The following is a 13,989-nucleotide window of genomic DNA, read 5'->3' on the forward strand; positions in this document are numbered from 1 at the left end:
CTTAGTAGCTCCTCCAAGCTGGCACAACACAGCAAAATTAGGAGAAAAAGGCCAGCTCATGCCTTTTCCTTTGAGAGGGAAAGAGAAGAGTAGAACATATGTTTAATGTTCTAGCTTTTCAGGGGGCTGCTCAGGGACTGGTTTCCCTCTCACCTGGCTTGAAGCAGTGATGAGGAACCAGTATAGTATGGATGTCTTGGGACTGCTGAGAAGAAAAGGTTGCTCAGCAGTTTGATGCGGCCCCAGAGAACCTTATCACCATGAAAGAGCTGGTACAGCTTGGAGTGACTGGGAGAAAATGCCCAGCTCATGACTACTCGTTTGGAAGAAAAAGAGAAGAGTGGAACATGCATCCAGCAATTCAGTGTATTTTTTTTTTTTTTTTTTTTTTGGTCAGGGGGCTGCCCTACAAACAGAGTTCTGTCTTACCTGACTTGGAGCATTGACAGAACCTGCATGCTTTGGATGCCTATGGTCACAGAAAACAATAGGGTATTCAGCAGCTTGCATATTACATCAGAGAATTTCTAGTACTGCAGACAGACATCAGTGTCAGCAAGAGATTAGAAGCTCCTGAAAAAGAAACTGCAAATCTCTCTAACTGGGAAATCAGATACATAAGCTCAGAAAAGATGTATCCCCAGAAAAGATTTTGGAGGACCCCAGAATCTCTAACCAGGCCGATTGGTGAAGCTCTTCCCTTGTATGAAGGCAGTTTATGAAGATTGGAAGAGGTGGCTGTATATTTAAATGCACACATCACAGCAAAAAATAACAAGACACATGGAAAAACATAGAAACATGACTCAATCAAAGGAATAAAATAAACTTCCAGAAAAAATAATCCTAAAAATGGATATCTGTGAATTACTTGACAAAGAATTCAAAATAATCACCTTAAAGAAGCTCAATGCATTACAAGAGAACACAGAAATATAACTAAACAAAGAGGAAGGCTGGGCACGGTGGCTTACACCTGTAATCCCATCACTTTGGGAGACTGAAGTGGGTGGATCACCTGAGGTCAGGAGTTCGAGATCAGCCTGACCAACATGATGAAACCCCGTCTCTACTAAAAATACAAAAATTAGCTGGGCGTGGTGGCAGGTGCCTGTAGTCCTCGCTACTCAAGAGACTGAGGCAGGGAAATAGCTTGAACTCAGGAGGTGGAGGTTGGAGGTTGCAGTGAGCCAAGATCACGCCATTACATTCCAGCCTAGGCAACAAGAGCAAAACTCCATCTAAAAAAAAAACAAAAACAAAAAAACAAAAAAACAGCCAGGCATGGTGGCTCACACGTGTAATCCCAGAACTTTGGGAGGCCGAGGCAGGTGGATCATGAGGTCAGGAGATCGAGACCATCCTGGCTAACATGGTGAAACCCTGTCTCTACTAAAAAATACAAAAAATTAGCTGGACGTGGTGGCAGGCACCTGTAGTCCCAGCTACTCAGGAGGCTGAGGCAGGAGAATGGCGTGAACTCAGGAGGCGGAGTTTTCAGTGAGCCAAGATCATGCCACTGCATTCCAGCCTGGGCGACAGAGCCAGACTCCATCTCAAAATAACAAAAAACAAACAAACAAAAAGAACAAATGGAAAACAATGCACAAACTAATGTAGAATATCAGCAGAGACAGAAACCAGAATAAAGGCCAAACAGAAGTTATGGAGCTGAATAATGCAATAACAGAATTGAAATATTCACTATAAGCATTTAACAGCAGATGTGATCAATCAGAAGAAGGAATCAGTGAACTCAAAGAAAGGTCATTTGAAGTTATTGAATTAGAGGATCAAATAGAAAAGAGAATGATGGAAAATAAAGAAAGTCTGTGGGATTTATGTGGTACCACTGAGTGGACCAATACAGGCATTATGAGAGTTCCAGAAGGAGAAGGGAGCAAGAAAGGGAAGAGAGTTTATTTGAAGAAATAATGGCTTAAAACCACTCAACTGAGAAAGAAAATGGATATCCAAATTCAGGAATCACAAAAGACTCCAATTAAGTTGAACTCAGAGTCTCACACCAAGACACACAATAACCAACTGGTCAAAAGCAAAAGTCAAAGAGAGATTCTTGAAAACATCAAGAGAAAACAGACTCATCATGTACAAGGGAGTTTCCATAAGATTATCAGTGGATTTCTCACCAGAAACATTACAGGTCAGAAGGGAGTGGGATGATATATTCAAAGTATTGAAAGAAAAAAAATCTTGCCTAGCAAAAATACTACATCTTGTAAAACTGTCCTTCAAAAATAAACAGACCTTCCCAAATAAACAAAAGCTGAGGGACTTCATCACCACTAGATTAGGCTTAGAAGAATAGCTAAAGGGAGTTTCAAAATGAAATGAAAAGATTAGCTAGCAACATGAAATCATATGAAAATATAAAGCTCTTTGCTGAAGGTAAATATTTAAGCAAACACAGAATCCTCTAATACTATGATGGTGGTGCATAAATAATTTTTAATTCTAGTGTAGTTAAAAATATAAAAGCATGAAAATAACTAAACTATAAATCTATATACATTGATACATAAAGTTAAAAATGTAATTGATAGCACCAAGAACATAAAGTGTGTGTAGGGTAACATGTAAAGAAGTAAAGTTTTGTGTGTGATTGAAGTTAAGTTCATAATTATAAGTTCATGTAAGTTCATCAAGTTCACTATAAGATGTTTAATGTAATCTCTATGGTAACTACAAATAAAATATCTTAAAAAGATGTACAAAAATGAGATAGAAATACAAACATGTCACTGAAAAAAATCACAAGAGAAGACAGCAGGAGATTGTAAAATTTCTTTCCTATCAGTAATTACTTTAAATGTAATTGAATTAAACACTCCAATCAAAAGACACAGAATGGCTGAATGGATTGAAAAAGAAACAAGATGCAACCGTATGCTGTCTACAAAAGACTCACTTTAGCTCTAAGGACACACACAGAATGAATGTGAAAAAATGGAAATAGATATTCCATACAAATGGTAACCAAAAGAGAGCAGAGGTTGTGATGCTTATATCAGATGAAATAGACTATAATTCTAAAACTTTTCACAAGGGACAAGGAAAAACAATACATGACAACAGGATCAATAAAATAAGATACAATTATAAATATTCACCTAACATCAGAACACAGACATATATGAAGCAAACAATGGTAGAATTGAATAGACAGGAACACAATAATATTAGAAGATTTCAATACCTTATTTTCGATAATGAATATATCAACCAGACAGAGGATTAATATGAACACAGAGGACTTGAACAACACTATAGACCAATTAGACCTAACAGACACCTGCGGAACACTCCACACAACAGCAGACCATACATTCTTCTCAAGTGCACATAGAACATATTCCATGTCCATGGAACAAATTTAAGGATATTGAAATCAGACCAAGCAAGTATCTTTTCTGACAACAATGGAATGGAATGAAACTAGAAATAAACAGCAGAAGGAAAATCGAAAAATTCAAAATTAGGTGGAAATTAAACAACACACTCTTTTTTTTTGAGACAAAGTCTCGCTCTGTCACCCAGGCTGGAGTGCAGTGGCGCAATCTCGGCTCACTGCAAGCTCCGCCTCCCAGGTTCACGCCATTCTCCTGCCTCAGCCTCCCGAGTTGCTGGGACTACAGGCGCCTGCCACCACGTCCCACTAATTTTTTGTATTTTCAGTAGAGACGGGATTTCACCATGTTAGCCAGGATGGTCTCGATCTCCTGACCTCATGATCCACCCGCCTCAGCCTCCCAAAGTGCTGGGATTACAGGCGTGAGCTACCGCGCCCAGCCAAACAACACACTCTTAAACAACTGAAGTCAAAGGAGAAGTCACAAGGGAAATTATAAAATTATCCTGAGGATAATGAAAATAAATGCACAACATATCAAAACTTATGGGATGCAACAAAAGCAGTACTAAGAGGAAAGTTTATAACGACAGATGCTTACATTAAAGAAGAAAGATCTCCAGTTAACAACCTAGCTTTACACCTCAAGGACCTATAAAAAAGAAAAAAATTGGCCAGGCACTGTGGCTCATGCCTGTAATCCCAGCACTTTGGGAGGCCGAGGTGGGTGGATCACAAGGTCAAGAGATCGAGACCACCCTGGCTAACACGATGAAACTCCGTCTCTACTAAAAATACAAAAAAATTAGCCAGGCGTGGTGGCGGGTGCCTGTAGTCCCAGCTACTCAGGAGGCTGAGGCAGGAGAATGACGTGAACCCGGCAGGCAGACCTTGTAGTGAGCCGAGATTGTGCCACTGCACTCCAGCCTGGGCGACAGAGTGAGACTCTGTCTCCAAAAAAAAAGAAAAAGAAAAAAAGAAAATCTAAAGCTAGCAGAAGAATGAACATAATAAAAATTAGGGCAGAACTAAATAAAATATAAAATAGAGAACGGAAAAATAATAGAAAAAAACTTTTAAATGCGTTTTTTTAAAAATCCACAAAATTGACAAACCCTTAGCTAGACTAAGAAAAAAGAGAGAAAACACAAATAACAAAGATCAGAAATGAAAGGGAAAACATTACAACTGATACTACAGAAATAAAAAGAATCATAAGAAATTACTATGAACACTTGGGCTGGGTGCGGTAGCTCACTCCTGTAATCCCAGCATTTTGGGAGGCTGAGGCAGGAGGATCACGAGGTCAGGAGATCAAGACCATCCTGGCTAACACAGTGAAACCTCGTCTCTACTAAAAATACAAAAAATTAGCCAGGAGTCGTGGCGGGCGCCTGTAGTCCCAGCTACTCGGCAGGCTGAGGCAGGAGAATGGCGTGCACCCGGGAGGCAGAGCTTGCAGTGAGCCGAGATCGCACCACTGCAGTCCAGCCTGGGTGACAGAGCGAGACTCCTTCCCAAAAAAAAGAAAAAGGAAAAAGAAATTACTATGAACACTTATGGGCAAAAAATTGAGTAATATATAAGAAATGGAAAGTTTCTAGAAGAATACAGCCTGTCAAGACTGACAATCTGACCAGACCTGTAACAAATAAGGAGAATGAAGCAGTATTCAAAAATCTTTCAATAAAGAAAATACCAGGGCCTGATAGCTTCACTGGAGAATTTTACCAAATATTTAAAGAATTTTTAATCTTTCTCAAATTCTTCCAAAAAGTTGAAAGGAAGGGAATATTTCTGATTCGTTTTATGAGGCCAACATTATCCTGATATCAAAATCAGAGAAAGATACAAGGAAAGAAAACTACAAGCCAATATCTCTGATGAGTATTAATGGAAAAATACTTAAAAAAATACTAGCAAGCCAAATTCAACTATATGTTAAAAGGATAATATGTGATGGCCAAATGGGATTTATTTCTGGAATGCAAGGATAATTTGCATATGAAAATCAATTAATGTAAGATATCACATTAACAACATTAAGGACAAAAAATATATGATCATCTCAATTGGTACAGAAAAAGAATTTAACATAATTAAACACACTTGCATCATAAAACACTCAACAAACTAGAAAGAGAAAGAAATTATTTTAACATAGTAAAGGCCATATATGACAAGCCTACAGCTAATATTATATTCAGTAGTGAAAAACTGAATTCTTTCCCTTCTAAGATCAGGAGCCAGGCAAGAATGCCCACTGTTTAAAAAATTTTATAGATTTTTATTTTTTAAAAAGATTATTTATTTTTCAATTGACAAAAATTATATATATTCATGGTGTACAACACAATGTTTTGAAAAATATACTGATTGTGGAATGGCTAAATCAAACTAATTAACATGTGCATTACCTCAAAAACTTATTTTTGGTGATGAGAACACTTAAAATTTACTTTCTTAGCAATTTTCAAGTATACAATACATTGTTATTAACTATACTCACCATGTTGTACAATATATCTCCTGTTTAACTGAAAAAAAATGGGATAACATCAAAATAAAATGCTTCTGCACAGTGAAAGAAACAATCAGAGAGAGAAGAGGCACCCTATAGAATGGGAGAAAATATTTGCAAACCATGAAGATAAGAGGTTAATAAACAGAGTATATAAAAAGCACACAATTTAATAGCCAGAAAACAAATAACCCAATTAAAAAATAGGAGCAAAGGACTGGCCGGGCGTGGCGGCTCACGTCTGTAATCCCAGAACTTTGGGAGGCCGAGGAGGGCGGATCCCGATGTCAGGAGATTGAGACCATCTGACTAACACGATGAAACCCCGTCTCTACTAAAAATACAAAAAATTAGCCGGGCATGGTGGCGGGCACCTGTAGTCCCAGCTACTCAGGAGGCTGAGGCAGGAGAATGGCGTGAACCTGGGAGGCGGAGCTTGCAGTGAGCCAAGATTGCGCCACTGCACTCCAGCCTGGGCAACAGAGCAAGACTCCAAAAAAAAATCTCTCTCTCTCTATATATAGATATATGTATATATCTATATCAATATCTATATCTATATATGTAGGAGCAAAGACCTAAACAGACATTTCTCAAAAAAAGACATATAAATGGCCTACAGGTATTTGAAAAAATCCTCAACATCACCCTAACCATTAATGAAATGCAAATTAAAACTACATTGAGATATCACCTCACATCAGTTAGAATGGCTATTTTCAAAAAGATAAAAGGTAAGTGTTGGTGAGGATGCGGAAAAAAAGAATTCTGTTACATTGGTGAGAATTTTAGTACAGAAATTATGGAGACCAGTATGAAGAATTCTCAAAAAATTAAAAATAGAAATACCATATAATTCAGCAGTCCCACTTTTTGGTATATAGCCAAAGGAACTGAAATCAGGATCTCAAAAAGGTATGTGCACACCCATGTTCAGTGCAGCATGTTATTCACAATAGCCACGGTCTGGAATCAACCTAAGTGTCCATCAACAAATGACAGAATAAAGCAAATGTAACATATATACACAATGGGAATAGTAATTTAGTCTTGAAAAAAGAAGCAAATTCTGTCCAGTCAGGAAATCCTGTCATCTGGGATAATCTGGAGTACATTATACTAAGTGAAATAAGCCAGACACAGAAAGACAAACACCACATGATCTCACTTATATCTGGAACTTAAAAATGTCAAACTCATAGAGATAGAGAATAGAATGGTGGTTGCCAGGGATGGGGGCTGCAGGGATTGGGCAGATATTTGTCATATGATGCCCATTCTTGCCACTTCTATTCAACATAGTGTGGGAAGTCCTGTAAAGACCTAAATGTAAGACCCGAAAATACAAACCTTCTAAGAGAAAACACAGGGGAAAAACTTTATGGCATTGAACTTGGATATGATTTTATGGTAATTATACCAAAAGCACAGGCAACAAAAGCAAAAATAGACAAATTGGACCATATCAAACTTAAAAATGTTCTGCATGTCAAAGGAAACAATCAACATAGTGAAAAGGTAACCTATGGAATGAGATAAAATGTTCGCAAACCATACATCTGTTAAGGGGTTAATAGCCAGAATATATAAAGAACTCCTACAATTCAACAACAAACAAAGAAGCAACCCAATTAAACAATGGGCAAAGAACTTGAATAAACATTTCTCAAAAAAGACATACAAAGAGCCAACAACCATATGAAAAGATGTTCAGCATTACTAACCATTCTGGAAGTGCAGGTGAATACTGCAATGAGATATCACCTCACACCTGTTAGGATGGCTACCATCAGGAAAATAGAAAATAACAACTATTGACAAGGTTGTGAAGAAATTGGAACCCTTTTGTACTGTTAACAGGAATGTAACATGGTGTGGTCACTATGGGAAGCAGTATGATGGAGAATTTTCATAACTTTCAGCAGTTCACTTCTGAGTATACATTTTAAAGAATTGAAAATATTATCTGAAAGAGGTATTTGCTCACCCATATTCATTGCAGCATTATTCCCAGTAGCCAAAAGGTGGAAGGAACCTAAATGCCCATTGATTAAGAAAATGTGGTATAAACATACAATGGAAAATTATTTAATCTTAAAAAAGAAAGAAATTCTTAAACACATGACAACATGAATGAACAAACCTTGAGGACAGACATTATGCTAAGTGAAATAAACCAGTCACAAAAAAGGCAAATACTGCATGATTCCACCTCTATGAGGTATCTAAATCAGTCAAACTTTTAGAAACAAAAAGTGGATCGGTGATTGCTGGGTGGAGAGGGAAAAGGGGGTTGTTTCGTAGGTACATAGTTTCAGTTTTACAAGAGATGAAAAGGTTCTGGAGAGTAACTGCACAACAACATACATTAGTAGTTAAGACTACTGTACTATACATTTAAAAATCATTAAGACGATAAACTTTGTCATGTGTTTTTCAATAAAAAAATAAACAGAAGGTTACAGCATCATCTGTAAACTACAAGATCATCAGCATATGTTATGTGTTGAATTTTGCCCTCCAAAGTGTTTGAAGTCCTAACCCTCATGATGTGTAAATATGACTTTCTTCGGAAATAGGATCTGTGCAGATGATCAAGTTAAGATGAGGTCATCAGAGTGATCTCTAATCCAATATGACTGTGTCCTCATAAGAAGGGGAAATCTGGGCCCAGAGACAGACATATATAGAGGGAATACAATGTGAAGAGATAGAGGAAAAACCATCTACAAGCCAAACAATGCCAAAGGCTGGGGGAGAGGCATGGAGTGGATTCTCCCTCAAAGCCTTCAGAAGGAACCAGCCCTCCGGCACTTTGAACTTCTGGTATCCAGCATTGTGAGGAAATACAGTTTTGTTATTAAGCCACCCATTTTGTGGTACTTTGTTAGTGAAGCCCCAGGAAACCAATACATCATGGGTTGGGGTTATCGGGCTTTAATAAATTACAGCCTCTTTCTTCAACGCCTGAGTTTGCAACCAAACAGCATAAGCCCAAACATGCTACAGACCACATCTTAGATAGAGGGTTAAACAACTACACATCTTCCCCTTTAACTCCATTGTTGAGCATTCCTCACTGGGTCTCTTCATAATACTTTTCTTGTAGAGTATATCTATACGACTTTTTACCAGTTTTTAAACAGGTATGAAACAAAGTTAAGCTTTTGCCTCAGGAACTGTGCTAATCTTACCCAAAGCTTTTAGAGCATTTTTAGAAATGAGAGTGTTTAAGGTAGATTGAATTACCATTTCTTTTGGTGGCAGTAGAAGCTTGCCATTTAATTGAGAAACTATATCTTAAATCACAAGTAAAGAAATTTGTGGCTTCCACTCTAGAGAAAAACTCCAGAGAAGAGCATAAATTATGAGCTAAAAGCTGGTATCGTTTAGAGAAGGCTCCAAAGATGTTTTATGGTAACACCAATCTGAGGAAGGAAGCTCTACTCTTGCCTGTGATAATTTACTTTTGTCTGATTTCATGAATCATCTCTTATGGAATGTGATTGGAAAATATATTTACATTACTATATTTGAAAAATGTGAGTCTACAAACTTAGTTCTCTCTAACCAGTTTCTTCATTGTTGCCAAAGACCCCGTGCAGAGCAATCACACAGAAAAAGGCTGCTTGGATTCACCAGTGCAGCCGCTGTGGAGGGGCCTTTCATTGGCACTGAAAATGCTTGTTTGGTGATGAATAACCTTTGTTATTATTATACTGCATGTTATTAAAATTTTTAACATAATTCCCTCTAAACTAATAGTAATTCAGACAATGCAGCCACTGGCAGACAGCTTCATTAGTCAATCTTCTTTCTTATAAATGGGAGAATTAAGAACTGCTATTACTGTCATTCTGTCTGCTGCTCATTATTGTTGTAGACTTATGCACGAGACTAATCATATTCTCGTTGAATGCATCATGCTTAGCTCTTGAACGTGTGTGACAGTGACAAGAGCCCACCGAGTGACAGGGCAGGGTTGGTGGAATTCTGTGTCTCCATATGCACATGCATGTGCGTTCCTTCTTACACTCAGGCACACATAGGCTATTTTCCAGGGTTTTATTTTATTAATTCCTTAGGAATCTCAGAAAGTGAACTTCAGAGGCTGGGCACGGTGGCTCATGCCTGTAATCCCAGTACTTGGGAGGCCGAGGTGGGCAGATGGCCTGAAGTCAGGTGTTTGAGACCAGTCTGGCCAACATGGTGAAACCCCGTCTCTACTAAAAATACAAAAAAAAAAATTAGCCAGCCATCGTGGTGGGTGCCTGTAATCCCAGCTACTCAGGAAGTTGAGGCAGGAGAATTGCTTGAACCAGGGAGGTGGAGGTTGCAGTGAGCCAAGATCGCACCACTGCACTCAAAAAAAAAAAAAAAAATGAACTTGAGAAAGCAAGATGGTACCCTCTGAGGCTTTCCCCATACAGTGTACATGTGTCCTCTCCAAGGAAAAATACTCCAAGGACAAAAACAATACAATAGGATTGTTTTTTGTGAGTATAAACATCTGATTTCTCTGTAGAGAGAGAAACAAAACATTTAGAAATCATCAAAATGTTTTGAGGCCTCTAAGGTACTTTCTGTGACTTCACAAAGACTATTATTGAATTCACTTTAAACAAAGCATTAAAAAATAATAATGTTTGCTCTTTCTCCAAAGGGAGACAAAGATAATTTTTATGGAGGAACCCTTTTCCCCATTGGATTACTAGACTATATCCTCAGTAAAAAAATGAAAAGTGTCCCCACCTGGTTGATGGTTAAACAAATGAAGATTAAGAGAGAACTAAAATGTCTAGAAGCATTTAACACTGTGAAATTCTATGATAGATGCTTGGATATTTGGAGAATGGAAACATTATATAAAATATGTGTATAGGTTGGGCGTGGTGGCTTACACCTGTAATCCCAGCACTTTGAGAGGCTGAGGCAGGAGGATCACTTGAACCCAGGAGTTTGAGACCAGCCTGGGCAGCATAGCAAGACCCCCATATCCACAAAAACTAAAAAAAAAAAAAAAAATAACTGGATGTGGTTGTGCATGCCTGTAGTTCCAGCTCTGTGGGAGGCTGAGGTGGGAGGATCACTTGAGCCTGGAAGGTTGAGGTTGCTGTAAGCAGTGATCACACTACTGTACTTCAGGCTGGGGGACAGTGTGAGACCCTGTCTTGAACAAAAAAAAAAGTTTGCTCAAGAAATATTCAGCAACCCTCTGTTTCCCAAAGGGAAGAAACTCCTTAGAGCTGTGTTTACTGAGTGTGGTACATGGTATACTTTTCTTAGGATACAGATTTCTGGCTTGTCCCGGAAAACCAGAGTGTGGTGACTGTGGGAGGGCCCCAGGTCATTCTTATGTGCCAACATCTGAAAGCCACCATCTCAGAGACCAAGTCGTCCACTATGTGGCCCCAAGTCATCTTTCCAATTTATCTGAAAGTCTTGCCACAGGGGTCCTCAACTTTGGTGTATATCACAATTACATGGCCTCCACCTCCAGAGATTTGAACTCAGTAATTCTTGGGTAAATCCATGAAATGTGGGTTTTGATTAAATTAAATGATGGATCTGTAGATAATTCTGTTGTACACAGAGTTTGAGAATCACCCTGCTTGCCTAACAGTCAGCAGATATGAGTTCTGCACTCTGGCCTTGGCTCTGCCCCTTGCCTGCCTGGTCCTGGACATATCACTGAACTGCTCAGAGTTGTTCATTCTTTCCTGTATAAGAGCAGCATGGGTGCACCTGCACTGGCTACCTCACAAGTTAGATGATGTATGGAAAACCACTTAGTTAGATGCAGGATGTGATGTATTTTAGGGTGTCCAAGTCACTGAGTATTATCTACAAGTTAGGCACTGTCTTCAGTACCAGAAATGAAATAAGAAGCCTGCATTCGGGAAGTTTATTATGACTCTGAAGGCCGTCAGAAGGTTGCTATTCCCTGGTAATGTTAATCTATTCTTGGTCTTGTAGGTTACGCATGCTGTTGCTGACTGTTGACACATACCATCGGCTAAGAGCAGTGGCTGGCTTTGAAACAGCTCCACCTTCCCTGAATACTCTTTCAGCGTCTCTGACGTCTAGGCCAAGTTTGTGTACTTAGCTCCATGACAGCATCAAGATACAAACAACAAGAACTGATGGATTTCAGTACATCTTCTGGGGCTCCTGCCTGTGGGATACAGCTTGTCTTTGATGTCTTACCCTCTACATCCATGTCTCCTTCCTGTCTGTGCTGTGGACTTCAAACTCCAGCATCAGACATGAAGACAACATCCTGCAGAGATTGCTTTAAGCAGCTCCCACAGTTATAACAACATCATGGCCCTATAGCAAATATCATAAAAATTTTTCCACACCTATATTCACAAACATAAAATCTTTTATTGGTTCTGTTTCTCAGTTGAATCATGACTGATACAATATGAGAAGCAGTATATTATTATTTATAGGTAAGGTGTCATTAATTACAGATGCATGGGTCAGGCATAGTGGCTCATCCCTGTAATCCAAGCACTTTGAGATACCAAGGTAGGAGGATCCCTTGAGGCCAGGAATTTGAGACCAGCCTGGGTAACAAAGTGAGACTCTGTCTCTACGAAAAACAATTTTTTAAGGTGCATATTATAAACCTAGGGAACCACTAAAATATTTTTAAAAGAAGCATAAATGATAAAAAAACAAAAAATGGAGATTAAATGGAATCATTAAAAATAATTCAAAATCAGTTAGAAAAAGAACAAAGAACAAATATAACAAATAAAAACAAGATATGAGATAGTACATTAAAATCCAACTGTATCAGTAGCTGTATTTAATTTAAATGACCTAAACATACCAACTAAAACACAGAGATGATCAAATTAGATAAAAAAGCAAGAATCAACTATAATCTATCTATAATAAATTCACATTAAATATAAAAGTATACAGGTTAAAAGTAAAAGGATGAAAAATATACCATATATGCCATGCAAACAGTTGCTCTATTAGTATTAGATAACAGGAAATTCCAGAACAAAGAATATCTTCAGAAATAAAAAGCCACCACATATAGTGTAAAAGGGCCAATTCATCAAGAAGAAAAAGACTAAACGTGTATGCACCTAACAACAGAGCTTTAAAATGCATAAAGCAAAACTGATAGAACAGAAAGAAAAAATAGACAAACCTACACTTAGAGACTGCAGCATTCCTCTCTCAGTAATAGAACAGATGCACAGAAAATCAGTAAAATATGTAGACTAGAACTACATTGTTAAGCAACTTGACAAATTTGGTATTTATTGAATGCTCTATTCAGCAATAGCAGAATACACATTCTTTTCAAGGGCTCATGGGACATTTACCAAGATACTGGGACATAAAACAAACCTCAACAAATTTAAAAGGGTTGAAATCATATGAAGAATGTTCTGTTACTATAGTGGAATCAAACTGGAAATTAATAGCAGAAAGATGTCTGAAAAATCCTCCAAATATTTGGAAATGAAATGACTCACTTCTGTACAACCCATAGGCAAAAAAGAAAGTCACAAGGGAAATTAAAATATATTTTGAATGAAAATGAAACATCAAATACAAGAATTTGGGAGATGCAGGTAAAGCAGTGCATAGGGGGAAATTTATATCATTAAATGTTTATACTTGACAAGAAGAAAGTCCTCAAGTTAATGGTATAGTTTTACAGTAAAGACCTGGTGGGGGGCGGGGGGGGAGGCGGGAAGGAACAAATAAAATACCATAGCAAAGAAAAAGGAATGCAATAATTAAGATCAGAAATGAATGACTTTGAAAAGAGCAACACAATAGAGAAAAATAAAATAAAAAAAACCGAGTTGATTCAGTGTGCCCCTATTACTTTCTAGTTAAACAAAAAGAAAACTTTTGTTTCAATAATTATACTTAAATGTTTATTGGATTTTTGGAGGGTGACTTTTTACGTACTTTAGGATGACAGATAAAAACACAAGCAGTGCCTAAGTAGGTTCATAATTTTAATTTCACTTACCTGTAATTTTACCAATGCTTACTTATCAATGTCTTTAAAGGTACAATTTTATGGAAAATTTTACCTACAGTCTGAACATATTTT

The 13,989-nt window shown here is 37.8% G+C and overlaps 1 long non-coding RNA gene across 1 annotated transcript in view; it reads left to right on the forward strand.

The window, feature by feature from the left end:
• The window catches only part of LOC107987008 (uncharacterized), a 69,179-nt gene extending 55,604 nt beyond the window's left edge, over positions 1-13,575 (forward strand). Inside the window, exon 5 of the long non-coding RNA XR_001746516.1 lies at positions 11,868-13,575. This is a non-coding gene — a long non-coding RNA (uncharacterized LOC107987008). The remainder of the gene's footprint in view (positions 1-11,867) is intronic.
• Positions 13,576-13,989: the final 414 nt, after the last annotated feature.

Source organism: Homo sapiens, chromosome 9, assembly GCF_000001405.40.
Source record: "Homo sapiens chromosome 9, GRCh38.p14 Primary Assembly".
NCBI classification, from domain to species: domain Eukaryota; kingdom Metazoa; phylum Chordata; class Mammalia; order Primates; family Hominidae; genus Homo; species Homo sapiens.